This window comes from Homo sapiens, chromosome 1 (assembly GCF_000001405.40).
Source record: "Homo sapiens chromosome 1, GRCh38.p14 Primary Assembly".
Lineage (NCBI taxonomy): Eukaryota > Metazoa > Chordata > Mammalia > Primates > Hominidae > Homo > Homo sapiens.
Window position 1 is genome coordinate 52,349,236 of NC_000001.11, and position 24,859 is coordinate 52,374,094.

Sequence of the window (24,859 nt, forward strand, 5' to 3'; positions counted from 1 at the left end):
AACTTCTACAGGGACTGGTCCTGTTTTCCTGTGGTTTATCTTCCTGCTTGCCATTGTACTTATTTATTCTGGTTCAGTGCAAGCTTTTAAATTCTCCCACTAAGGACAAACTCTGGCCCTCAGATCCTTTCTCAGCTGCATCAAATGTCCTCTGTGTTTAGTAAAATCATTTGTGGAATTGGGCATAAAATAGCCAATGATAGTTAATTGTTTTCCTTGTTTATCCTTGCTTTTATACAATGTATATTGTAAGAATTATATAAAGCAAGGGGCTGAACCACATTTCGAAATAGGCAAATCTTCTGGATTGTAAACTTAAAGATTGAGATACAGCGATCCTTCTATACTTAAGAGGAATAGAATTGCCATTCTGGTAATTTATTAAATTTTTTAAAATTATTAAATGCTTATCAAATGCTAGGCAATGTATTTTTATCAACATCTTCTGAGGAACTACTGGACTCTAGGGCTACAGATTTGAAATTATGCCTCTGTAAATTCCCACGTCTTGTCTTCCCCCAGCCACAGTGGTTCCTGAGCACTGGTGGGCCCAAGATTTTCAGTTAAGTTTACCTCTAGATAACTGGTCACCTGGGAAATAATTTATGCATTTAACACATTTCAAACAACAATCAACCTGCTGAACATTGTTTCTGGAATTAGCAAGTTTGTAATGATGTTTCTATTTTTTTTTTTTTTGAGGTCGGAGTTTTGCTCTTGTTGCCCAGACTGGAGTGCAATGGCACTATCTCGGCTCACTGCAACCACCGCCTCCCGGGTTCAAGTGATTCTCCTGCCTCAGCCTGCGCAGTATCTGGGATTACAGTCATGCACCACCACGCCCAGCTAATTTTGTATTTTTAAAAGAGATGGGGTTTCACATTGGTCAAGTTGGTCTCGAACTCCTGACCTCAGGTGATCTGCCCACCTTGGCCTCCCAAAGTGCTGGGATTACAGGCATGAGCCACCGTGCCTGGCCGGTTTCTATTTTTATAATGCAAAAATAATAATCATGGCAATGGGAATTCAGGGATTGTATGTAGTCAGAAGGGCTAAGAAGTAGGGAGAAATGATGCCATTTTAGAGCCTGGGCAGCTGAGGCAGAGAAGAAACGAATCCATCTGTGGAGCTGACCCAGGTGCAAGCTCCCAGGATCTGCCAGTCTCAGTCGCATGGTTTCATCCTGAAAGCAGCTGCCCTTACTTAAGGGACAAAGTCTTTTAGGAGCTGCCCACAAATACTTGGAAAACAAGGCTTCAAAATCCAGAAGCAACAATGCAAATTTCAGAATGGTGCTGTGAGAAAGGAAAAATGTTAGAGTCACAGGAGTTTGCCCTTTAATTGTAAGCAAGACTTCTTGATTCTAAAAAATTTCTGTAGTTTATTCAGTTTGCTAATTCAGAAGAAAGTGTGCATTGCATGAGATCAAAGAATTGAAAATTTTAAAATGATTTGGGTTGTAGCTGGCTCCCAACTGCAGGTGAGTCACTAATCTCCAATGTTTGGATACTGTATTTGTGTTTGTTTTGAGACAGAGTCTTGCTCTGTCGCCCAGGCTGGAGTGCAGTGGTACAATCGAGGCTCACTGCAACCTCTGCTTCCTGGGCTCAAGGGATTCGTGTGTCTCAGCCTCCCTAGTAGCTGGGATTACAGGCGCCGGCCACCATGCCCAGCTAATTGTTTTTGTTTTTAGTGGAGACGGGGTTTCACCATGTTGGCCAGGCTGGTCTTGAATTCCTGACCTCAGGTGATCCACCTGCCTCAGCTTTCCAAAGTGGTGGGATTACAGGCGTGAGCCACTGTGTCCCGCCTGTTTCCTGTATGTGGATAAATCTCAGGACAAGATGAAGCTGGGACAGGCTCCTCCTACTACCAGTGACGCATGCATGCCTTTGGCTACAACAAAGGCCTTTTAAGAACTTCAATCTCCAAGTCTGGTGGGAGGCTTTGTCTTGCCTCGTCAGCCTGGAGGTTCTGTTTTGAAAGAGCAAAGCAGCAGACTGAAATTGAATGGGTTGCAAAGGAGAAACCTTTAGAGCTATAGAAAACTTTCTATCTATCGAAATAGGCCATTTCCAACAGAGGCCTGAATTTAGAAACTCCTAGAGCTGGCTGGAACTTTAGAGGATAACCACAGTGGTCCGTAACCCTCTTAGGAAGCACTGGGTTGGATACACACCCTAAGGGGAGTAGGTTGGGTTAGGAACCCTTCCAGTCACCTTTCTTTGCTCTATAGGTCATCTTATGAAGGCTAATCACCCTCCTTTTCATTCTAGATTATTGCTGTGTTGCATACACGTGACTGCAATTAAGTGTTAAATCTCACATCTGTGGAAGTTTTGGTAGCTCACTTCTGATAAGATTGGCCAGCCGGGTGCGGTGGCTCACACCTGTAATCCCAGCACTTTGGGAGGCTGAGGTGGGTGGATCATGAGGTCAGGAGTTCGAGACCAGCCTGACCAACATGGTGAAACACCGTCTCTACTAAAAATAAAAAAATTAGCTGGGCATAGTGGTGGGTGCCTGTAATCCCAGCTACTCAGGAGACTGACACAGGAGAATCGCTTGAACCTGGGAGGTGGGGGTTGCAGCGAGCTGAGATCATGCCACTGCACTCCAGCCTGGCTGGCAGAGAGCTACTCTGTCTCAAAAAAAAAAAAAAAAAAAAAATCGGCCAGAGGGCTCATGGGGAAAAAAGTCACTTGTGTGTAGTTCCCGCTCTGTGACCCACTAAAAGCTCTGCGTTTAAGGGCAGGGAAGCATGGTCCAGCCCTGTTATCCCCCAAAAGGACACATACAAAGCTCAGTTCTTGAGCTGTGCTTATGCAATACTATAGTGATCAGTAAGCTGAATGTATTTGCTTCACTTCTAACCTTTTTTAAAAGTGATCTTGAGGAATGCTTTGTTGATCTTGAATTAATAATTCAAAAAGGGGGTGGGGGAAGATGGGGTATTTCTAAGAAATGCAGAATATTTCAGTTTTGAATATTAAATCTCTTACAACTACAAACCCCTTCATAGTCTCCATCCATTCAGAAAAACAAAGCCAAAGGAGAATTTCTTGTGGAAAAAAACTAAGGAAGTTCCCCACATAACCAGCCGAAGAGGAAAGGCTTTCCCTGTCCTCTCTCAAGAGGAAGCCACAGCAGCCGTTTGTCATGTTACTGCTACCCTGGCTTTTAAAAAGTGACAGGGAGCAGGACTTTAGATTAGGACTTTGGTGGATACTCTGTATAGTTGAGTATAAAATCCCTACAATGAGTTAGACTTAGTTTCCTAGATAAATAAACGTGTCTACATAAAATTTTATATATATATTTTTTCTTCCAGTTAACAGTCTTTTCTCTTGGGTGGGTAGACCAAACCCAAGATCCAACCTTCCCCTTACTTCCCACCAAGTAGTACCAAAAACAACTTTCCCCCTCCACTAAGTCCTTAGGGAAGCAGGAAGGCTAGTGCAGCAGCTGTCAGGGATAAAGGCACAGGCAGAGCTGGGGTGACGGAGTTGTCTGGGACAGGCTACCACTGGCCCACTGGAGTCACGGAACCCTGACACCACCCTCAGCAGGGGAGGTTCCCGATCACCCTCAAGTTCTCCCATCCCATAGTTAGATCTTTTAAAGGCACATCTAGAAGTGGTGCAACTGGAGGCAGGGGTAAGCTGTACACAGTTGCCACGCAGGGGTTAAGGGGCTGCAGGACTCCATGGTACAGAGGAATGGAAGTGTCCTTGCCCTCTTCCAGACTCGGGGCAGGGGGAGACAGCGGGGAGATGGGCTCCTGGAACCCAGCCTGTTTCTGTAGAGCCCCAGAGGGGCCAACAACAGGAAAGACCAGAGTCGTGGTCAGTAGTGCACATGCTTAACAGGTCTTTGGTGCTTGGGTAGCAGCATCTCTTATGTACAAAGGCTTCTGAAGCCAGCAAAGCTGGGAAAGTCATCTCCTGCACAGTCGCGGCCTGACTCCTCTCCTGGTGCTGGCCATCGGCTACACAGGGGTGCAAAGCACAAGAAGTCAGTCTAAACTGCAGTGAAAACACAAAGATTTTAGAAAGGGTTTCCTGAAGATAGATAGATAGATAGATAGTTAAACCTTGGAAGGTTACCTTCTCTTCCCAGTTCTACTGAGGAACATCAGAAACTCAGCCCATAAGCCCTACCCAGCATGGTAGGTCTTTCTCATAGATGAGAAACTCCTAGGTTTTCTCTCCAGATATGAGTTGAGTAGTTAGTTGAGTAAAAGGAGGGGGCAAAGGTTCTGAAGGCCCAGAGAGCTGCCCACCTCACAAGCCCCTGGGCTCCAGAACCAGCCAGTTCTCAGTGACCATCTGCACATCCTGGCCACTCAGAGGCTCCCGCAGCCTCACCTTCACCTCCAGCTTCCCCCCGGTGGGCTTCCTTCCATCCAGGACCTGTGAGGACCACAGAGAGGGAAATGGTAACTAAGGGGACAGAGATGGGGAGCAGGCAGGTCCCTACATTCCCAGGAAAGAAGTGAGAGGAGCTAAGATGTCCTGTGGCATGAACACAGGAATCTCCATTCATGAAAACCCTACCCTCCCAGTATTTGGAGGAGGAGGTGGTGGTGGTTTTAGGTGAGTCTTATTAAAAAAGTAATAAATAAATCCAGACAAGCATCCTAGAGCTCTGTTCATTTTCTCCTCAATCCCCACGGCAACTTCTGGAAGAAACATTGGCTTGAAGAAGCAGCCTTCCACTGACCCAAACCCTCACTTCACAGATGGCCAAGAGAGAGAAGCAGATGACTCTATGTGGCAGAGTCAGCACTGGAACCCCAAACCCAGGGTTCCTTCCCATTCACCACGCTACTCCCTCTTTTGGGCAGAAGATGAGGCAGTCAATTAGGGCACAAAGCAGTACAATAGGCCCAAGAAGTCCAACCACCCTCAGTGGCTCCAATAGAGACCAGGGCCCGCATAAGAACAACTTCCCCAGGCAGGCAGTAGGGCCAGGTGTGCTACAGTGGGAAGAGCCCCAGCCTACATAGGTTATCAGTAAGGAGCTGGTCGTAGCTCTGCCAAGGACACACCATATGAGCTTACAGAACCCCCTTTCCTCTCGGACCTGAGTTTCCTCATTTGTCAGAGGCAAGGTCGTATAGTCCTTGCCTGTGGAATCCATTGAGTTCATGGAAACAAGGAGGCTGCCTTCTCCTGGGTCCCTCTGTGAGATTTCTCAGACCTTCTGAACCTCTCCATCTGTGAAATGAGGATTCCACCTACTCTAAGCACACTTGTGGAGAATTTCAAATTAAGTAATGAGCACGAAAACCTACAACAAGGTGTGGCATTCAGTGCGTATTGGCTCTTGTCGTACCAACCCCTTTGGCTTGCCCACACCCCAGCCCCTACCTCCACAATTTCTCTGATCTCACACTCATTCTCCAGCCGCTCCAGTTTCAGGTGTGCTGTGCCAACCAGCTTGTCGCTTCTGAAGAAGGACCTGGGGAGTCAAGAGGCAGCAGAGGATTGGACTGGGCAGGGAAGGCAGGAATGTGCTGGCTGAGCCCATGCAGGGGCAGCAGTGACAAACGCTCTTCCCTCCTCCCGGCCCGTGTGGCAGCATGACCGATAGGAGCCTCACCCTTTGTGGAAGATCTCAAACTTGATGCCTTTGCTCTGGATCACCCTCTTGAAGCCCCGGTGGTTTCGGTTGATGTTTAGTTTGAAGAGTTGATCAAATTCTGGCAAAGGGGGAGAAAGCAAGGAGGGGCTTGGCTCTCGGGATTTCCTGAGGAAGTGGAAATGGAGGCCCAGGGCTGGCTGCCTTCCCCCAATCTCTCCACCTGCATTTTGGGGTACTGCCTCCAAAGGGTGGTAGAGCATCGCGGTCCTGGCCTTGGAAGTGAGTTTTTGTACTCTTTTTAGTCATAGATTGTAACAAAGTAGGAAAGACTTGGAATTGGGATACAGAATTCCTGTGTTCATATCCCATTTCTACCACTTCCTTGCCATGAGGCCCCAGGCAAGTCCCTGTACCTCTCTGCGTGTTTCTCCAACTACAGAAGAAGCATGTTAACAGCACCTTTATCTCCCAAGTGGGGTGGATCAAGTAAGGGCATAGATGGGAACCCACTCTGGAAACACCAGTGCTGCCCACACACTCTGAGGGAGGAGAAAGAGGCCCACGTGTGGCCCTCACCTGGAGAGTTTGTGTTCTTCACCACAGCTGTTTTGCTTTTTTGAGCCTGGTCCTAAGCAGTGAGGAGGGAGAAGTCAGGACAGCGTATAAACAAAGAGGCACACAGGGCAGGCACTGCAGCCACACCTCCCAGGGATGGGAAGAAAGTGAGCACAGGGTCCTGGAATGCAAGGCGGGTTTCAGAGGATCCTACTTCTACCTGAACCTCACCGAGTTAGGGTAGTGAAACTCAAACCGCACAAAAGCATCCAGGTCATCGGGAGTCACCCCTGGGAAGGAGAAAAGGGAGTCAAGTCAGAGGGAGTGGCCAGGAGCCTAGCACTTGGAGTGTCCGGGCAAGAGCCTCCTGGAGTAGGGGCGGCCCTAGGGTTACCTGGAGGGGCTGGGAGGTTCATTCCCCGGACAATGATCAGATGCATTTCTGTGCTGTTGAGTTCTGAGAAGATCCTAGAGCCAAGCGGGAAGGAGAAAATGCTCAAAAGTGAAGGACAGTAGTGGAACAAGGTCCCTTCGTCCAGGGCCTGTCTGCCCAGCTGGGTGGTGACGGGAGGGAAGGCAGAGCTGGTATGCAGACCTTGATCTCTGACTTCTGGTCCAGAGCTCTTTCCACAGCACCCAGACAGCTGTGCGCTCTCCACTAGCATGCACCCTGTCGTCCTCAGCAGCCCCAGTGCCCACAGCGGGGCCAGGCTTGGGAAGCCTCACTAAAGGGGTAGCAGTCTCTGGCCTGGGCTCCCAGCCTCCTGCCCCTCCCTGCCTGGAGCCCCTGTTTCCCTAGGCCTTGGTACCTCACAGTCTGGAATGTCTTCAACTCAAAGTGGTGGGTGGGAGGGTCGAGGCCCTGAGCCTGGGCCAGCTGCAGGATCTCCAGCTGTTTCTTGCGGTCCTGAGCAAGCTTCTCAAATCTGACAGGGATGGGTATGTCAGCATGATGGTGGATTTTCTGCTCCCCACCCTATGAGCCCAGCCCCAGCCCTTGCACTTACCGGGTGGTCTCAGCCACGTTGCCCTGGTGCATGAACTGCTTGGAGAACAGCAGGCACTTCTGAAAATAGAGGCCCAGAGTGACTCCCGAGCCCAGAGCAGGACCTGCCTTGGTTGGCATTCAAGGCTAGACTTCTCAAAGCTTCAACTTTCCTCTGTAGCCTCACCTCTCTCCTCCCACAACACAGCCCCAAGGGCACTACTCCCAAGTCCCACCACGTTTCTCTGCCTACACTTTTGTCATTTTCTCTTCTGAGGAGAGCCATTCCCCAAATTAGCAACTCCTTCCATCAAAACCTAACTCAAACATCCCCTCAGAAGGCAGCCTTTCCAGAACAGGTGGCAGTTCAGATAGATAAATACATAAACATACACGCACATCACAATGTTCTTTCCCTCTTCTCTGTTGTTTGTACCACCCTGAAAGGGGTATTATCACCCCATCTCATAGATGAGGAAAATGTAGTTCAGAGAAGAAAGTGCCTTGCCCAAGTCACACAGTGAGTAAGTGGAAGAGCTGAGAATTTTGAGTCCAGGGCTGTGTGGTCTGAGCTCCAGGTCTTCCTCCACGGGGAGGCTGTGGGCACAGAGGGGAGGAACAGACGAGGGGCCTGCTGACCTCTTGTTGCTCCAGAAGCATTTTTTGCAGCTGGGCATACACCTCCTCCGCCTTCTGGGAGAGTCGCAGGTCCTCATGGTGGATGAGGATGAAGTCACCCTCCTCATCCGTCAAGGGCGAAGGCACCTACCCAGGTCACAAGGCCCCTCGGGCCCCAAGAGTCAGATTACTCCTCTACCAAGTCCAACAAAGGCAGGAGCCCAAACTAAGTAATTCTTCAGCTTCTACTAAAGTCCAGTGATGACAACTCATCGCCTCCCATTCTATCCCAAAATAACACTCTTGCCTCCCATGGCCTGGCCCAGCCTTGTCATCTCTGACCACAGGCAGCCCACCTTCCCTTCTCCTGGTTTCCTTTGGGGCCGTGAGGTAGAGGAGTATGAGCAAAAGGCTCTTTCCCAGCTGTCATCATGCTCTGTCCAAACCCTGCCTCATCCCAGAAGCTGCCCTTGTTCACAGCCTGTCAAGCCTGCCAGCCGCCACCTCCGCCTGAGAAGTCCTGGTGGTTAACCAGGTGGGACTCACCTTGGACAGATCAACAGGTCTGCCAGATCGGGCCTGGATGATCTGAGCCTCAAGCCATTTGGCTACCCGCAGATAGGCTTTGGCCTGCTCCAGGTCCTGGCTGCGCTTGGCCTGCAGGGCTGCCCGCTGATACTGCAGTTTCCGTGCCTCCAGCAGTGCCAGCTGCTCCCGCACTGAAGGGAGAAGGCCACTGGTTAGGGCCACACCTGCCCTCTCTAGGCCCTCAGTTCTTCACCCTGCTTGTCCCCAACTCACCAGATGGACTCGGTGACTCCTTAGAACTTGAGGCCCTGGGCTCAGGCAGGCGCTGGGATGAAGGGACTGTGGGCCGTGCAGGTTTCTTGGCCACTGGGGCCTGTGCTGGGGGCTCACCCTGCAGGTGCCCAGGAGGCTGTTAGGAGGGGATGTGTTCCCTAGCATAGTCATGGCGGCTCCCAGACTTGGGCTGTCTTCCTAACACTGTACTACATCGCTGTGTGACCTGAGATGGGTGGCTTCTCTTCCTGGGTCCTAAAAGATCTGAGAGCTAGAAGCAGCCTCAGAAGCTCTCACATCTAACCTCCCCAGCAGGAGAGAGACTGCAGGGTAATGGGGATGGAGCCGGGGCTCTGGGTTCAGAAAGACCTTGGTTTGAATCCTAGTTCTGCTATTTCCTAGCTGGGTGTCCTTGGGCAAGTTTTTTCTCTGTACAGTGGAGGAAAGAATATGTACCTTATTGGGCTTGTTAGTATGGACAACAGGGTCTGGGTTTACCCCTCACCTGCTATTCTCCCCACCAGCCCTGGAGTTGAGCCCTCAACCAAACCTCGTCCTCGTCTTTATCAGCCGGGGCTGAATCCTCTGCAGAGGCCAGTTTCTCTGCAGCTGCCAATGTCGCTGCCACTGCGTCCTCCTCAACACCCATAGTGGACTCCAGGCCAGGGATGGGGGGAAATCCTGTGGGAGAGAGACAGCATGGGAGGGGCAGGGAGCAGCCTCAGAGAAGCACAAAGCTACCCGGGGCCCTGTCTGGGGCATGGCTCTGCTGGGGCATGGCTGGGATGGATGGCTCCACAGAGGGGAGGCAGACGCATGAGAAGTGGGAATCACTGGCTGTCCCCCATTCCCTTCTTGCCCAGGGACCACCTCCTCACAGAGCCCCTAGGCCATGCCCCACTTACCTGGAGGAACAGGCAATTCAGCAAAGTTGACTTTCCGTCCTGCTCGGTGTGCTCGAATAGCATCTTGATATTGCTGCAAGGGAAGGAAGGGAGGGGCCTGTGGTCGGCAGCAGCCCACAGGCCCCCTGCCCAACATGACACACAGTGGGGCAAGGAGAGGGAGACTGGTGGGAAGACAGCAGCCCTGGGAGAAAAAAAGATCCCTAAGGCAGCAAGAGCCCCAGAGAGACAAACAGATGATGGTTCAGAAAAGACAAGGACTAGCCGGAGGACCAGGGAGACAGAGCACCCAGCCAGGGAAGAGGCCAGCACAGGCAGGGGCTGCATAGCCGCGGGCCCACCTTGGCAATGCGCTCATGCATCCGAGCCTTGCGCTCGTCCCCACCACTCCGGGCCTGGATGCCCGCCTCGCGGTACTTGTTCAGCCTCTGCTGCAGGGCATCCAGCACTGTCTGTGACTCTGTAGGGGCCACTTGAAGGAAAGAAGGAAGAAGTGGGCATCAGGTCAGCCTGCCCTCCAATGCCTGCAGGTCCCCACGCCACAGTCCCACCATCCTGCCCTACCTGGGGTTGCTGGGACGTCAGGGGCCATCACTGGCTGCACTCGCTCCACGGCTGGGGGAATGACTGAGGGTGCTGTGGGAGCCTGAGAAGCCTGCTGGGGCTTCAGATCTGGGGGACCCAGAGTAGAGGTGTAGGTGGGAGGGCCTGGCCAGCCCCAGGCCTGCTACTCCTCCCCAACCCCACCGCAGCCTGAGAAGATACATACTGACCCTCAGGTGCCGGGGGCATGGCACTCAGATCCACGGGCTGCCCCTTCTCCAGGGCCTCCAGGACAGCACCGAATCTCTGCAGAAGTTGGAAAAGCAGGTGTGGGTGAAAGACAGGGGACCCCAAGAGCCTGGGCTGAAACAACCCCCACTTAGGCCAATCTCACTCAATCTCAGTCTAGCTCCCTTTCTGAGCCTGTTTCCCCTATCTATAAAATGAGGGTGGGTGCCCTGAGCCAGATGCCATACCTTCCCAATCCTCATGAGCTCTCGGGCACGGTCTAGCTCTCCAGCCCGCTTGGCACTGAGGGCAGCCACTTTGTACTCTCTCTGTCGGGATGACAGCAGGGCCCGCGGGTCTGGGTCTAAGTCTGAAACGGGCTGGGCAGAAATGCCAGGGAGGCTGGTCTCAGGTTGGGAGGGGTTGTCTATAAGGAAACAAACAGTCCCCAGAGAGCACATGAGGGTCACAGAAGAAGGTGCCCACGGACTTCACTGGCTTGAGGATGTCCTGGGGAGGATGTGACCAATGGTAATGAACAGTGGTGGCAGGCTGGGGACACACGCTGTGGGCTATGACCCCAGGAACTAGAACAGGATTTGGGCATCTGCAGATACCTGACTCCAAGGCAGGGGGAGCTGGAGGGTCTGTCTCAGGGCTCCTGTTGGCTGGTTCCTGGGGGGCCAGGGGCCGCTTTCCTAAGGCCACTGGAGGTGGGATCTCATCCTCATTGATCTTTCTGCCTCTCCTCACAGAGGCTAGCTGCGACTCCAAGGTCTGAGGGAGAGAACTGGTCCAGAAACCCAGCCAGCCATCTCAGCCCAGACCCTGCTCCAAGACAGGCCAGGGGTGGCCCCCCAACCCCCAAAGTCTGGTGGGGTGACCTCCCCTCCACTGGTGCGATCTCCACCAGCCGCCTTTCATGCAGCCCCCTCCCCTGCCCTGCTCCCAGCCTAGCCCGACTCACCTTCAGGCCGCGCTCGCAGCGCCTGGCTTTGGCTGCTTCGCCTGCCTCCTTGGCACTGGCCGCAGCCTCTCGGTAGTTGTGAATCCGTTCCTCCAGCAAAGCGTGTAGCCCCTGAGATGCTCCGGCCTATGAACAATTCAGCTAAGGGCCTGGCCACTCCAGGGCCTGCTAGGCCTACCATTCTCCCTCTGCGGAAGCTGCCCTAGAAGATGGAGCTCTGGGACTCCAGGAGAAAGAAGAGCCTAAAAGCCTTAAGGCAGGAAGCAAAGGCTCACTGGAGAGGCCAGAGGCCATGGCAGAGGCAAATACAGAGCCCCACTTGGTGGAAGCCAGGATATGGCTCCCGGGGGGTAGTCTAGGAGAACAGAGAGGCCTTTGAGGCTGGCTGCCACGGAGGAGTTTCTTGTGCTCAGTTTCTGCTTGGGGCGGCTGCTGGGGGAGGGTCCTGGAAAGGGTGACTGCAGCCTTGCTGTGCAGGCCAGGCCACACACGTGTTACGTCTGGGCGCACAGGAGCATCAGAGGCACAGGGGCCCTCCTCCAGAACCCACCTGAGCTGCTGGGGCTGAAGCTGTCAGGACGGCTGTCTGCACTGGAGGTTCAGTGTCTTCTAGGCCGTTCTCCTCCTCAGAGCCGCCTGGGTCAGCTACCTCATCACCATCCAGGGGCTCAGTCTCCTCGTCCACACCTAAGACCTCCTGCAGCTCCGTCTAGGGAGACAAAACACAGCCCAGGAGCTTGGGGGCCTCAAGACCATACCCACAACAGGACCTGAGAGTAAAGGACCCTCTCTCTCAGCAATATTCCCTAACGTCAGTCACTGTGCCTGAGTCCCCTTCACCAAAACATTTCTTTAATCTGACCGAGGATAGCCTTGAAAATAGTAATTACTCCAAATCTGAGAATCCCCAACTGCAGAGCTTAGACCAGAAGTCAAAGAGACACGCCACCCACTGTACAGCCAGGAGGGGCAAGCACTCACTCAGAGTCAGAGAATACAGGGGCACCCCCAGCCTCCTCTCCACTGCCCTCTCCTCCACCAGGCCCAAGCTTGCCTCAGAGCCCTGGGATACCAGCCTGGCAGACACACCAGCAGCTCTGCATCTTCCTCCAGCCCTTCCTCCTCCTCCTCCTCCTCCACATCCCGCATACAGTCTGCCGCCAACTTCTCGATGTGGGCCATGGGCAGGGGGGCTGGGGGAAAAAGGTCACAACAAGTCAGCACAACTCAGATAAGTTCAGGGATGAGTAAAGGAGGGGCTTGGTAGATCCACCCAGGCAGAAATCCCTCTTCCCTCCCACAGCAGAGTCCCACCTGGAAAACTGCTCTTCCTTTAAGACCCAGTTCAAAAGACCCTCAACAGGGAAACCTTCCTTGGCCCCCCACCAAGCAACAAGCTGCTCCTTTCTCTGCACCTCTGCCTACGGTAGCCTGACATAGACATGGCCATCCACTCTCTCCAACCTCCAACAACACCTTTCACATCTGTAAAGATTTTCAAAGTCCAACAGAGCTTCAAAACAAATCTGCAAGATGGATAATATCCCCTTTTCATATATTGAATAAACTGAGAAACTTCCAACATTAATTTTCCTATCACTGCAATCCTTAAGTGGCAGAGCTAGGATTCAAACCTAGGCTTGTGCCACCCCAAGGCAGGAGCAGTGAGCCCCTTCCTAGGTCCTCCCATTATCCTCAACTCAGGGACACACAGGATGGTGGGGGATGAGTGGGGGGATTCTCTGAGGGTTCCCGGTGAAAAGAGAGGACGATTTAGACCTCCTGATCCTCCCAGGCCTGAAGTCTCTGTTCTCATCTGGGCTGTGGAGGGAGATTCCACTTAACTCGCTGGACACAATTTCTATGTACTTCCTATGTACCCAGTTCAGTCTGTGCTAACTGGGCCCCTACCCTACACCAATACCGTGGCTAGGGCTAAGGATGGGGACCTGAGTCAGTCTGAGAAACACATTTGTCCACAATGGGGAGGGGCCAGCCCAGGCCATGACACAAGGTGGGGAAGCAGGGCGAGGCCGCCTCTTGGTGGGAGTGCGGCAGATGGGTATTGGAAGGACCAGGGGATCTGGCTGGCTCCGTCCAGCTGCAAGGGAACCCCTCTACCACCAGCCTGTGCCCATCTTGTCCCAGCACCAAGACCAGCCCTGTGTCCAAACTCACCCTGCCCCTTGGGTGCTGGCTTCTTGCCTGTGGTTTGTGCTTCCCCTGTGAGAGCCAGCAGCTCAGCCTCCAGGTCCTCATCATCTTCAGCCTCATCCATGCCCAGCAGCATGTCCTCAGGGCCAAACTCCATAAAGAGCCCCATCTGAGAGCAGAGCAGGACTCTTAGGAACCACACAACAAGCAGGGTAGGGTCCAGCTCCAGAGCCAGACTTGGGGCTCTCCAAGTCCCAATCAGTGGCTCCTTCAGTCTGTGAGGCCCAATGTGCAGAAAGAAACTGAGGCCTGCAACATTACTCCTTGAGACACTTACCTTCCTAGGGACTCAACAAAAAACCCAGTAAGACCACACTGAAACTGAGACAGTCTTGTGAGTCAGAATTTAAAACACACTACCATTATTACAACCAACAGCAATAGCTGCCATCATGCACTGTTCTTAGCGTTCTATGTGATTATCTTAACCACCTCAGTTAATTCTCACAATTCTGAGAAGAAGGTCCTATTTTTTGGCCAGGCGCGGTGGCTCACGCCTGTAATCCCAGCACTTTGGGAGGCCGAGGCGGGTGGATCACGAGGTCAGGAGATGGAGACCATCCTGGCTAACACGGTGAAACCCCGTCTCTACTAAAAAATGCAAAAAATTAGCCGGGCGCGGTGGCGGGCGCCTGTAGTCCCAGCTACTCGGGAGGCTGAGGCAGGAGAATGGCGTGAACCCGGGAGATGGAGCTTGCAGTGAGCCAAGATGGCGCCACTGCACTCCAGCCTGGGCGACACAGCGAGACTCCGTCTCAAAAAAAAAAAAAAAAAAGAAGGTCCTATTTTTTTAAACTCTGGTAAAACACATACAACATGAAATTTACCATCTTAACCACTGTTAAGGGTGAGTTCAATGGCATAAGGACATTCACAATATCCTGCTACCATCGCCATCATCCATCCACAGAACTGTTTTCATGTTGTGAAACAAACTTTCTACCCATTAAACATTAACCCCCCTTCCTCCCCTCCTTCCAGCCTCTGGTAAGCACCATTCTTCTGTTTCCATGAATATGACTACTCTAGGTAGAGGTACATCCTTTTTTTTTTTTTTTTCTGAGACAGAGTCTGGCTCTGTCGCCCAGGCTAGAGTGCAGTGGCACTATCTTGGCTCACTGCAACCTCTGCCTCCCGGGTCTAAGCGATTCTCCTGCCTCAGCCTCCCAAGAAGCTGGGAATACAGGCACATGCCACCACGCCCAGCTAATTTTTGTATTTTTAGTAGAGATGGGGTTTCACTATGTTGGCCAGGCTGGTCTCAAACTCCTGACCTCAGGTGATCCACCCACCTCGGCCTCCCAAAGTGCTGGGATTACAGGCGTGATCCACGGCACCCAGCTTACATTCTGTTTTTATCCCAATGTTCAGATGAAACTGAGACAGTCTTGTGAGACAATCAGAATTTAAAACAAGCTCTTTGCGACTTGAGTCTATGCCCTTTACCCCACCTCCTTTCTTACCTGCCTTTTTAAAGACAGTAAAAATGGACTAAGAAGTCTCAAGATGTAGGCCCAGAAGAAATAAAGGAAGAAAATTGGAGAGGAGACCCCCCTGTTCTTCCACTTGGGGCACAGCCATCTGTCCCTAGGCAGTGAAGTCCTCCCACTGACTACAGCCCTCATGCCCTGGCATCCCTGGCTAACAAGCAAAGTTGTGACCCTATCTAAGGAACCTTTGAGAGCACTGAGGTCCCATCAGAACATCCTAAACTTTGGTGATTCCTGAACCCTCTCCCCACTTGTATGTGGAAGAGACTAGTAGGAGGGTGTCTAAGGGCTCTGCCACCTCCAGGAGGCACTGCTCCAAGTCTCTGAACTAATGGGGGAACTACATGTGATCCAGTTTGCCTAAGTTGTCTAGGGACCCCCATCCCCAAACCGACCCAGTAGCCTAGAAGGCTAAGTTCCATACCTGCTTGGCAGCGGCCACCCCTTGGCCTCTGGCCTGAGGGCCCTTCCGAGGTCTTGGCCCTGGCATCATGGCAGCCTAGATACCTATGGAAGAGTTACAGAGATTCAGGCTGGAGTAGCCCATAAGCCACGCCCCCAACAGTGCTACCCGTGGTAAGGTGTGGATAGTAAACTCCCAAAGAAGGCAATGCTGAACACCAAAGTATGGGTTACCTTTAATTAAAGCACTGAAGCAGCACAGGCCATGGGAGGGATGGGGATCACCTGTTAATGGGTTTACTGAGGAATGTTCTGAACGGACTCAAATTTAAAAAGCACATTCAGGGAAGTACTCTAGGTTCAGGGTGGGTGGAAGGCTGGGTAGAATTCAGAAAGGCTCTAAAGCTGTGCTTATGGAAGCCACAGCTGGCTATTTAATTTTAAATTTCAATGAATTAAAATGAAATAAAGCTAAAAATCCAGTCCATCAGCCACAACAGACACATTCCAAGTGCTTAACAGCCATATGTGGTGAGGGGCTATGACCAGACAGCACACACACAGAACATTTTCATCATCCAAGGACATGTCATCAAAGTTCCATCTCACAGCTGAGCTCTGGAGAAAGCTGGCTCAGCATTCTGATTCCCATAAAGATCTCACAGTTATTCACAGGACCTCCTGTGTCAGACCTTGCGCTGGGCACTGGGAGCGCAGAAATGAACCTAAGACGGTCTCAGCCTTCAATGACCATTTACAGGGTGGAGGTGGACTACACGGGGTTGCCCCAGGGGCCATGGGTGCCCTGAGGTGACCCCTTCTTCAGCCCTGGGAGAAAAGGCTCCTCCTTCGAGGCGGTGACGCCTGAGCTGAGTCACGCAAAGAAGTTGGGGGAAAGAGGGAAATAGGATTCCAAGACGAGGGAACACTTGACGGCTCTGAAGTGGGGAGCAGCTTGGCCTGTACAATGGAACCTGAGGCCTGGTATGACTGGGGCATAAGCGGTGAGGCCTGAATGCACAAGCCGAGGTGGAAATGTGAGCAAGCGGCAGAATATGAAAACCTCTAAGCCGAAAAGCGTTTGGGCATTATTCTGAGGGCGCTGGGAAAGAAGTGGCGGGATCGTATCGGTGTTTCAGAAACCCCATTCTGGCACCAAAGGGGAGGTGCACAGAAGGTAGGGGGAAAAGGCAGGAAGCCGGCGCATCTCGCCACAGCGCTGGCGGGGAGACCAGCTGACGGGCGTGGAGGCGGCGGGGAGCGGGCGGAGGAGCTGGCGGGCGCTCCGGGGGACTCTGAGTGTCAGATTTCGGGAGTGACTCCGGCTCAGGTGAAAGCGAGGCCAGACACTCCAAGGCTGCGGCCCCGATGACACAGCCAGGCCTCACGGAAGGTGGGCAACGGAGTCCGTAGGGGGAGGCGACACGGGACCCCCACTCCCGCGCTGCGGGACGCGCCGCCCTGCCCCGCCCGCGCCGCCTCCATCTACCCCCGCGGTCCCCAGAACTCCCCACGCCGAGGGGCGGGGACGCGGCATACCTCGCGGTGAATCCGAGCCAAACCCCGGCCTTGTCTCACCCGGCACCGCCCTGGGCTCCCGCGGGCCCTGGGCCGCAGCGGTAGCGACAGGAAGCGCCAGCAGGGGAGGTGGCTCGCGCGCAACACGTGACCCCACTGGCCGGCGGCCGGCAGTGCGCATGTGCACGGCTACGCGGGCGGGGGGCTCCAACAGGTGACACCGGGGCGGGGTTCGCAGCGCGCAGGCGCGTTCGGGTAGGTAGCGCAGGACAGGAACTCTGGGCGGTTCCGCCGGGGCGTCCACCGGCCGGCTCCAATGAGGTCGCTGCGCCCAGCCCTCGCCCACTTGCAGCCTCTCCACCGAACCTCCTCCCTCACTCAGCCCGAGGCGCTGGGCGCTCGCTCGCTCGCTGGACCTACCCCGCCTCCAGCCCTCGCCCCGCCCCACCGAGCAAGAGGGCGGGGCCTACCCAAGCTCCGCCCTGGAAGAGAGACAGGGGCGGGGCTCACCTGCTTGTCCATGTCCTTTAAGCCTGGGGAAATGGAAATGGGGCCCACCATATGTTTCTTAATAATTCAGCACCTGAAAGTATCCTTTTCCGGTCCGTTGAAAACTTCAGACAGGCAGAGCTCGCTGCACATCTTAAATACTTTACAGAGTCTAACACTAAGTTCTCACTCGCCTACCCTGCTGTGCAATCAAATGGCATGGAGGATATTAAGGAGAGAAACGGAGTATACCCGTTTTCTGCCAAGCTTGTGTCAGTCACTTTTCATAATGGAGCTTATACCAGTTCTCAATCCTGCAAGATGGACATCATCTCTAGAAGAAACGGAGGCTCAGAGAGAATTATTTGCCCAGGGAAATACAAAACCAACCTCTTTAGCATCAGTAAATATGCTCTAGTCTAGTTTTCTAAGGAAAGCACGTTTCTCCCTGCGGCTTGCAGAGTCCAGTTAACAAGAGATTGAGCTCAGGAGTCCGAGACCAGCCTGGGCAACATGGCGAAACCCTGTCTCTACAAAAAATTACAAATATTAGCCGGGTGTGGTGGTGCGTGCCTGTAGTCCTACCTACTGAGAGGCCGAGGCAGGAGAATCGCTGTGGCCCCGGAGGTCCAAGCTGCAATGAGCTGTCAACTGCACTCCAACCCGGGTGACAAGGTGAGACCCTGTCTCAAACTAAAACAAACAAAAAAACCGAGAGCGGAGTAATGGGGAAGTGGCCAGATTCCCATCTAAAGTAACCACTTCGATTTTGGGGGGAAAGAGAACGGCTTAAAAGGAAAATTTGATATGGGAAGCATGCAAGAATTGTACAGAGTACAACGTCTGTGTGTCTTGTTCTGGTGGCTATCTTGGGTCCCAGCCTACCTGGAGCGTGGGCTGGTCTCATCTCCACAATGGCCCCGCTGTTGACTAGCCACCTTGAAGTAATCTTTGGAATTTTGCAGCTGTGTCTCCAGGCTTGGTTTGTCTGTCTCAAGATTAGCCCTTGGAACTTCTCAGAAGGCAGATAATTAAATACTAGCATACAGTAAGATAAATGTGAAGGGAGTATATACAGTGAGAAAGGGAGGGATATGGGGTCTATTTTACAGCTAAGGGAAAAGGCTTTTGCAGTTTGCTTCAAGGTTGTATCTTGAAACCCAAGAGAAAGGAAAAAAAGTTTTAAAATGTATTTTAAAGTTAAACTGCTGGATTAGTTTCTTCTGTCTAAAACATTGCCATCTCCTCTCCTGCCTATGCCTTGAACTTTTAAATTATGTTTTCTAGTTAGCGATCTCCCAGTTTACTTGGACAAAGGGCTTTTCCATCTCCTGATTGCTTACTTTTTTTCTTTTTTTTTTTTTTGAGACAGGATCTCATTCTGTCACCCAGGCTAGAGTGCAGTGGTGCGATCTCCACTCACTGCAACCTGCACCTCCCAGGCTCAAGCAATCCTCTCACCTCAGCCTCTTGAGTAGCTGGGACCACAGGCACGTGCCACCATGCCCAGCATTTTTTTTTTTTTTTTTGTAGAAACATGTTTTTGCTATGTGCCCAGGCTGATCTCAAACTCCTGAGCTCAGGGGATCAACCCACATCAGCCTCCCAAAGTGCTGGGATTACAGGCGTGAGCCACCATGCCCTGCCCATTACCATATTTAAATTGAGATTTCACATCCATATTTCTCATTCCTTTTAAAATTATTTAAAAATTTTTATAATGAAACATTTAAGATATAAACAAAGATACACAATATTTAACATTTACTAGAATGCAAGCTCCAGAAGGAGAAATTTTTTTATTGCTTCTCCAAGTGTCTCGTGTCTACAGCAGTGCATGGTACATAGTAGGCACTCAATAGTTCCTTGTTGTGTGAATTAACTACATGGACATCTATTACCAGTTTAAGGGAAAAAAAAAAGCAGGTGAGCGGGCGCGTCCCCGCGACCGCGCTGCCTCCCCGAGGCGGTTCACGTAAAGCCAGCGAGGCCCTGCCTGCCAGCCGGGAAGGAGGCGTGGTTATGGAGCTGGCGGCTGCAACCCCGGGGCCCGCGCCGCTGCCTAGCGCTTCCCGGGGGCTCTTTGGGGACGCGCCCCCCGCCGCGGCTCGGGGACCCGTAGAGCCCGGCGCTGCGCGGTTGGCCCTTCTCCCGCGCCCCGCGCTCACCCTCCTGCTCCTCCTCATGGCCGCTGTTATCAGGTGCCTGGAGCAGGCCTAGACCACCGACTGGAGGGCCACCCTGAAGACCATCCGGAACGGCGTTCATAAGATAGACACGTACCTGAACGCCGCCTTGGACCTCCTGGGAGGCGAGGACGGTCTCTGCCAGTATAAATGCAGTGACGGATCTAAGCCTTTCCCACGTTATGGTTATAAACCCTCCCCACCGAATGGATGTGGCTCTCCACTGTTTGGCGTTCATCTTAACATTGGTATCCCTTCCCTGACAAAGTGTTGCAACTAACACGACAGGTGCTATGAGAACTGTGGCAAAAGCAAGAATGACTGTGATGAGAAATTCCAGTATTGCCTCTCCAAGATCTGCCGAGAAGTACAGAAAACACTAGGACTAACTTAGCATGTTCAGGCATGTGAAACAACAATGGAGCTCTTGTTTGACAGTGTTATACATTTAGGTTGTAAACCATATCTGGACAGCCAACGAGCCACATGCAGGTGTCATTATGAAGAAAAAACCGATATTTAAAGGAGATGCTGACAGCTGGTGACAGATGAAGACGGAAGAACATAACCTTTGACAAATAACTAATGTTTTTACAACATAAAACTATCTGATTTTTGTGAAAAAAGAAAAACAAACATAGTTGGAGCTACCTGTACATCTCCCATATTGCAACACCTCCCTTTCCCAAAGATGTACCCATTATCCTAAATTTAGTGTTTATTATTCCTGAGCATTTCTATTTCTGTGTAGGTATCCTTAAGCAATACATAGTATTTTTTTTGCCAGCTTTTAAAAATTATATCATTGGTTACATACAGTGTAATTCTTCAACCTTTTTCTACTCAACCCTGTTTGTAAGCTTCACTCAAATTGACATGTATACTGTATCTAGTTAGCTGATTTTCATTTCTGTTATGATTCCATAGCATGAAAATAAGTCACTTTCCCAATGGCTTACCATTATAGAGTGCTATGAACTTTTTGTATATGACTCTTGGTGTACGTATGTGAATTTCTCTAGAGCATATACTTAGGAATGGAATTGCTGGCTGCATTAGTCAGGTTTCTCTAGAGGAACAGAACTAATAGGATATATATATATATATATGTGTGTGTGTGTGTGTATATATATATGTGTGTGTGTGTGTATATATATGTGTGTATATATATATATGTGTATATATATATATAGTCCCACAATAGGCTGTCTGCATGCTCTATTAACCATCACACTGGCTGATATGGTTTGGCTCTGTGTTCCCACCCAAATCTCATCTTGAATAGTAATCCCATAATCCCCATGTGTCCTGGGAGGCATCTTGTGGGAGGTAATTGAATCATGGTTTCCTTCATGCTGTTCTTGTGATAGGAGTGAGTTCTCACGAGATCTGATGGTTTTATAAGCATCTGGCATTTCCCCTGCTGGCACTCATTCTCTCTCCTGCTGCCCTGTGAAGAGGTGCCTTTCACCATGATTTTAAGTTTCCTGAGGGCTCCCCAGCCATGTGGAACTGTGAGTCAATTAAACCTCTTTTCTTTATAAATTACGCAGTCTCAGGTATTTCTTCATAGCGCGAGGACAGACTAATACACTGGCTCATACAATTTCTTGCATTTCCTAGGCTAAGATTCACCAAATAATCTTCAAAAGTCATTCCACCTCCATCAGCAGGGTATTGGGGTCCCAGTTGTTCTGTGTAACCATAGAAAGGTTTTCTAATAGATGTGAAATGGTTTTGGTTTGCATGCCTCTTTTACTGTTTCCATTTTCTTGGTCATTCGTGTTTCTTCTTTGGATGACTTATTTGTTATTTACCCATTTTTTTCTTTTTCCTTCTTTTTTTTTTCTGAGACAGTCTTGCTCTGTTGCCCAGGCTGGAATGCAGTGGCACAATCTTGGCTCACTGCAACCTCTGCCTCCTGGGTTCAAGCAATTCTTTTGCCTCAGCACCCCTGTAGCTGAGATTACAGGTGCACACCATCACCCCTGGCTAATTTTTGTATTTTTAGTAGAGATGGGGCTTCACCATGTTGGCCGAGCTGGTCTCGAATTCCTGACCTCAGGTGATCTACCTGCCTTGGCCTCCCAAAATGCTGGGATTACAGGTATGAACCACTGTGCCTGGCTCATTTTTTCTTTTTCATTGCAGTTTTAAAAATATTGATATTGATCCTCAATCCATTATATGTAATTATAAATACATATGTGAATATAGAAATACATATTTTTGCTAAATGATTTGAGAATGAGTTGCAGACATAATACATCACTTATAAATATTTCATTATGAATCTCCTAAGAACAGCATTCTCCTACATAATCACAAATTTATCACGCTCGGGGAATTTAACACTTACAAAATACTTCTGTCTAATACATAGTTAATAATGTTTATAATTGTTTATATTTCCTAAATCCAGGACCCAGTCAAGGTTTATATAGTGCATTTAGCTCTCATGTCTCTATTCTCCTTTGGTGTAGAATAGTTCCTCCATGTTTTGTGTTTTTTTTCTTGTGATATTAGTATTTTCAATGAGTTGAACAGCTGCTTTGCAGAGTTTCTCCCTAAATTTAGATTTGTCTGATAATTTTCTCATCAGTAAATTTAGGACAAGCATTTCTGACAGGACTAGTACACGGGTGGGGCTGTTTTTTTTCAGTACCTCATATTAGGTTTTATTTATTTTTTTCAGACGGAGTCTTGCTCTGTCGCCCAGGCTGGAGTGCAATGGTGTGATCTCAGCTCACTGCAACCTCTGCCTCCTGGGTGGGTTCAAGCAATTCTCCTGACTCCCAAGTAGCTGGGACTACAGGTGACACCACCACGCCAGACTAATTTTTGCATTTTTAGTAGAAACGAGATTTCACCATATTGATCAGGCTGGTCTCGAACTCCTGACCTCAGGTGATCCACCCGCCTTGGCCTCCCAAAGTGTTGGGATTACCGGCATGAGCCACCCACGCCCAGCCTCAGTACTTCATGAGGTTTTAGATGTTCATTGCCTGTTGTTGGTTTCCATATAAATATTAGAATTAACTGCAAAGTCATACAAGAAACCTTGCCAAGATTTTGATTGGAATTGATTTCTATCTAGAGATTACTTGCATCTCTTTATTAGACTTATTCCTAGGAGACGGACATGGTGGCCCACACCTGGAATCCCAGCTACTTAGGAGGCTGAGGCAGGATTACTTGAACCCAGGAGGTTAAGGCTGGAGTGAGCTATGATCCATTACTGCATTCCAGCCTTGGTGACAGAGGGAAAAAATAAATAAATAAATAAATATTTAAATCAATTTATTTCTAAGTACCTTATATTTTCTGTGACATATAAATCTTTTGTATTTAAAGGTTTGTTTTGTTTTTATGGTAAATGGTACCTTTGTAAAAATTACACTTTCTAGCTATTTGTGGCTAGAGATTACTTATGATTTATATTATTTCCAGTAGTTCCTTTTTTATAAACTATATTTTATTTATTTATTTATTTATTTATTTTTGAGACGGAGTTTCACTCTGTCGCTCAGGCTGGAGTGCAGTGGCGCGATCTCAGCTCACTGCAAGCTCCGCCTCCCGGGTTCATGCCACTCTCCTGCCTCAGCCTCCCGAGTAGCTGGACTACAGGCGCCCGCCACCACAACTGGCTAATTTTTTTGTATTTTTAGTAGAGACAGGGTTTCACCGTGTTAGCCAGGATGGTCTCGATCTCCTGATCCACCTGCCTCGGCCTCCCAAAGTGCTGGGATTACAGGTGTGAGCCACCGCCCCTGGCCTAAATTTTATTTATATTATTTGAAACTTAAGACAGATAATGACATACAGTGAAAAGTCCTCCTCTAACCCCTAACCCTGGCCATCTGATTCTTTCCATCTGATTCTTTCCAGAGGTAATCAGTGTAACCAGTTTTTTGCATACTCTCCCAGAACTATTTTATATAGATACAAGTAAATCGTGTACTTATATTTTATATATGTTAGCATTAAATAAATGGCAGGCCTAGTAACAGAAATAAAAGTCACATGGAAGGACTATTGTAGGAAGGACAGTTTGGTTTCATAATCAGATGTTTGTAATGATTATAATGTAATAACTTCACAAACACTCAGGAAAAAGCAAATTATTTAATGGAAAATTCCAAAATACATGAGAGCCATTTCCATTCAATATACTTTGTTACAACAATTCCATGTACTTCCAAAATCAGATGCTTTGTAGACTAGCTTGGCAACATGGTGAAGCCCTGTCTCTACAAAAAATCAGCTGGGCATGGTGGCATGTGCCTGTAGTTTCAGCCACCTGGGAGGATGAGGTTGGGGGGTCACCTAAGCCTGAGAAGTCAAGGCTGCAGTGAGCCATGATCGTGCCACTGCACTCCAGCCTGGGCGACAGAGCAAGACCCTGTCTCAAAAAACAAAACCCAGCAAGACCCCAGTCTTTTAACTTGTGAAGCCCCTTTACTCGTCTTTCAGCGCATACAGCACATCATCCTGGCTGACGTTGAGCCGCACCCGAAGGAGCAGATCGTTCCTGCTGGGCTCCACAAGCAGGAGGCGACAGGAGCCCAGGTGAGAACACACGGCCATGGTCTCTGACATGGTGGGGTACGGCAGTCCCTCCATTCTGCACAGTGCCACATGTTGACTATATATCTAGACACAAATAGCAAGGCAAAGGTTAAGAGGAAATACAATCCTGGGGCTTTTTCTGTTCCTTTCTTTCTTCATTTGGGAAAATCAGACACATGGCCCCCAGGATATCAAACACTCCAGAAGGCATCAGTTGGTGCCCCAGTGGTACACAAAATGCAGAGGCAGAATGGAATGCTAGCCTTGGAATCAGAAAACAGCAGGCCCGAATCCTGGTGCTACCATTTACCTAAATATGTAGACCTGGCCAAGTTACTGCACTCTTTTGAGCTTCAATTTTATCTATAAAATACACTGTACATCCCTTGTGAGTTAATGGATATAAAATGACTAGTAACTCTCACTGGTGATACAAATAGTCTTGTCTCCAGGGGCTGAGAGTTTCATAATTGAGACTGTCAAAATTCAAGTCAAATTTTGCTACAAGGCCACTTTCCTTATCAGGTACAGTGAGCAAATGCCAAGGCATGACCCTTGGAAAAGCACAAAGGCCTAGAGAGAAAATTGAATAAAGAAATAAAGGGAGGCAGGAGGATAGCTGGAAACATAGATTCCTACCCTAACGTTCTCTACTGGGTCAGCTAAATCTGGAGCATTTCTGGTCACTTTCCATTCTAAATATCTATGAGTCTATCCCCGTCCCAGCCCCAAGACTGGGAGTTTGTCAGGAACAGGGATGTTAACCAAATCAGCTTGGGGTTCAAGGATTCATCACAGTTAAT

General features: G+C 50.1%; 2 protein-coding genes and 1 pseudogene across 9 annotated transcripts in view, besides 10 other annotated features; 1 reads left to right on the top strand and 2 right to left on the bottom strand.

Moving 5' to 3' along the window:
- Positions 967-1,941: an enhancer, noted in NCBI's record as "NANOG-H3K27ac hESC enhancer chr1:52815874-52816848 (GRCh37/hg19 assembly coordinates)". NCBI's record gives its function as "activates a minimal SCP1, AML or CMV promoter by ChIP-STARR-seq in naive H9 embryonic stem cells {active_cell/tissue: H9 hESC(naive)}" and the evidence as "EXISTENCE:reporter gene assay evidence [ECO:0000049][PMID:30033119]".
- Positions 967-2,915: a biological region, named in NCBI's record as "NANOG-H3K27ac hESC enhancers GRCh37_chr1:52815874-52816848 and GRCh37_chr1:52816849-52817822".
- On the bottom strand, positions 1,362-16,970 carry CC2D1B (coiled-coil and C2 domain containing 1B). 2 transcript variants are annotated; one of them, NM_001330585.2, is made up of 25 exons: positions 16,834-16,970; positions 15,317-15,399; positions 13,367-13,511; positions 12,278-12,381; positions 11,739-11,897; positions 11,189-11,314; positions 10,839-10,998; positions 10,470-10,648; positions 10,224-10,299; positions 10,015-10,122; positions 9,792-9,922; positions 9,451-9,523; positions 9,096-9,226; positions 8,546-8,663; positions 8,291-8,463; positions 7,766-7,891; positions 7,149-7,207; positions 6,951-7,067; positions 6,536-6,609; positions 6,373-6,431; positions 6,163-6,214; positions 5,605-5,704; positions 5,373-5,463; positions 4,283-4,412; positions 1,362-3,988 (listed from the first exon to the last, which is right to left on the bottom strand). In NM_001330585.2, the coding sequence occupies exons 2-24, from the start codon at positions 15,383-15,385 to the stop codon at positions 4,284-4,286; spliced, it is 2,559 nt and encodes an 852-aa protein (NP_001317514.1). In that variant the 5' UTR covers positions 15,386-15,399; positions 16,834-16,970; the 3' UTR covers positions 1,362-3,988; position 4,283. The 2 variants fall into 2 exon arrangements, with proteins under 2 accessions (NP_001317514.1, NP_115825.1); NM_032449.3 differs by having other exon boundaries at positions 1,362-4,412; positions 8,546-8,681.
- Positions 1,742-2,036: an enhancer, noted in NCBI's record as "tiled region #8197; HepG2 Activating non-DNase unmatched - State 14:Gen5'". NCBI's record gives its function as "activates a minimal TATA promoter and a strong SV40 promoter by Sharpr-MPRA in HepG2 cells {active_cell/tissue: HepG2}" and the evidence as "EXISTENCE:reporter gene assay evidence [ECO:0000049][PMID:27701403]".
- Positions 1,942-2,915: an enhancer, noted in NCBI's record as "NANOG-H3K27ac hESC enhancer chr1:52816849-52817822 (GRCh37/hg19 assembly coordinates)". NCBI's record gives its function as "activates a minimal SCP1, AML or CMV promoter by ChIP-STARR-seq in naive H9 embryonic stem cells {active_cell/tissue: H9 hESC(naive)}" and the evidence as "EXISTENCE:reporter gene assay evidence [ECO:0000049][PMID:30033119]".
- Positions 7,936-8,437: an enhancer, noted in NCBI's record as "H3K4me1 hESC enhancer chr1:52822843-52823344 (GRCh37/hg19 assembly coordinates)". NCBI's record gives its function as "activates a minimal SCP1, AML or CMV promoter by ChIP-STARR-seq in primed H9 embryonic stem cells {active_cell/tissue: H9 hESC(primed)}" and the evidence as "EXISTENCE:reporter gene assay evidence [ECO:0000049][PMID:30033119]".
- Positions 16,570-16,679: a silencer, noted in NCBI's record as "silent region_886". NCBI's record gives its function as "represses an Ori minimal core promoter by ATAC-STARR-seq in GM12878 lymphoblastoid cells {active_cell/tissue: GM12878}" and the evidence as "EXISTENCE:reporter gene assay evidence [ECO:0000049][PMID:35858748]".
- Positions 16,720-17,349: a silencer, noted in NCBI's record as "silent region_887". NCBI's record gives its function as "represses an Ori minimal core promoter by ATAC-STARR-seq in GM12878 lymphoblastoid cells {active_cell/tissue: GM12878}" and the evidence as "EXISTENCE:reporter gene assay evidence [ECO:0000049][PMID:35858748]".
- Positions 19,162-19,211: an enhancer, noted in NCBI's record as "active region_1031". NCBI's record gives its function as "activates an Ori minimal core promoter by ATAC-STARR-seq in GM12878 lymphoblastoid cells {active_cell/tissue: GM12878}" and the evidence as "EXISTENCE:reporter gene assay evidence [ECO:0000049][PMID:35858748]".
- Positions 19,245-20,110, top strand: PLA2G12AP1 (phospholipase A2 group XIIA pseudogene 1; annotated as a pseudogene).
- Positions 19,332-19,431: a silencer, noted in NCBI's record as "silent region_888". NCBI's record gives its function as "represses an Ori minimal core promoter by ATAC-STARR-seq in GM12878 lymphoblastoid cells {active_cell/tissue: GM12878}" and the evidence as "EXISTENCE:reporter gene assay evidence [ECO:0000049][PMID:35858748]".
- Positions 19,492-19,571: a silencer, noted in NCBI's record as "silent region_889". NCBI's record gives its function as "represses an Ori minimal core promoter by ATAC-STARR-seq in GM12878 lymphoblastoid cells {active_cell/tissue: GM12878}" and the evidence as "EXISTENCE:reporter gene assay evidence [ECO:0000049][PMID:35858748]".
- The window catches only part of ORC1 (origin recognition complex subunit 1), a 36,675-nt gene continuing 35,409 nt past the window's right edge, over positions 23,594-24,859 (bottom strand). For all 7 annotated transcript variants that reach the window (XM_047421674.1, XM_047421680.1, NM_001190818.2 and 4 more), the window contains one exon: positions 23,594-24,140. In XM_047421674.1, the coding sequence (XP_047277630.1) occupies positions 23,946-24,140 (195 nt within the window). In that variant the 3' untranslated portion in view covers positions 23,594-23,945. The remainder of the gene's footprint in view (positions 24,141-24,859) is intronic.

Coding starts and splice junctions, on each gene's coding strand:
- CC2D1B (NM_032449.3), bottom strand. CDS start 15,385: ATGATGCCAGGGCCAAGACCTCGGAAGGGCCCTCAGGCCAGAGGCCAA. Junction 9,524..9,791: donor TGCATGAGCGCATTGCCAAG/GTGGGCCCGCGG, acceptor CTTCCCTTGCAG/CAATATCAAGATGCTATTCG. Junction 8,464..8,545: donor GGAGTCACCGAGTCCATCTG/GTGAGTTGGGGA, acceptor TTCTCCCTTCAG/TGCGGGAGCAGCTGGCACTG.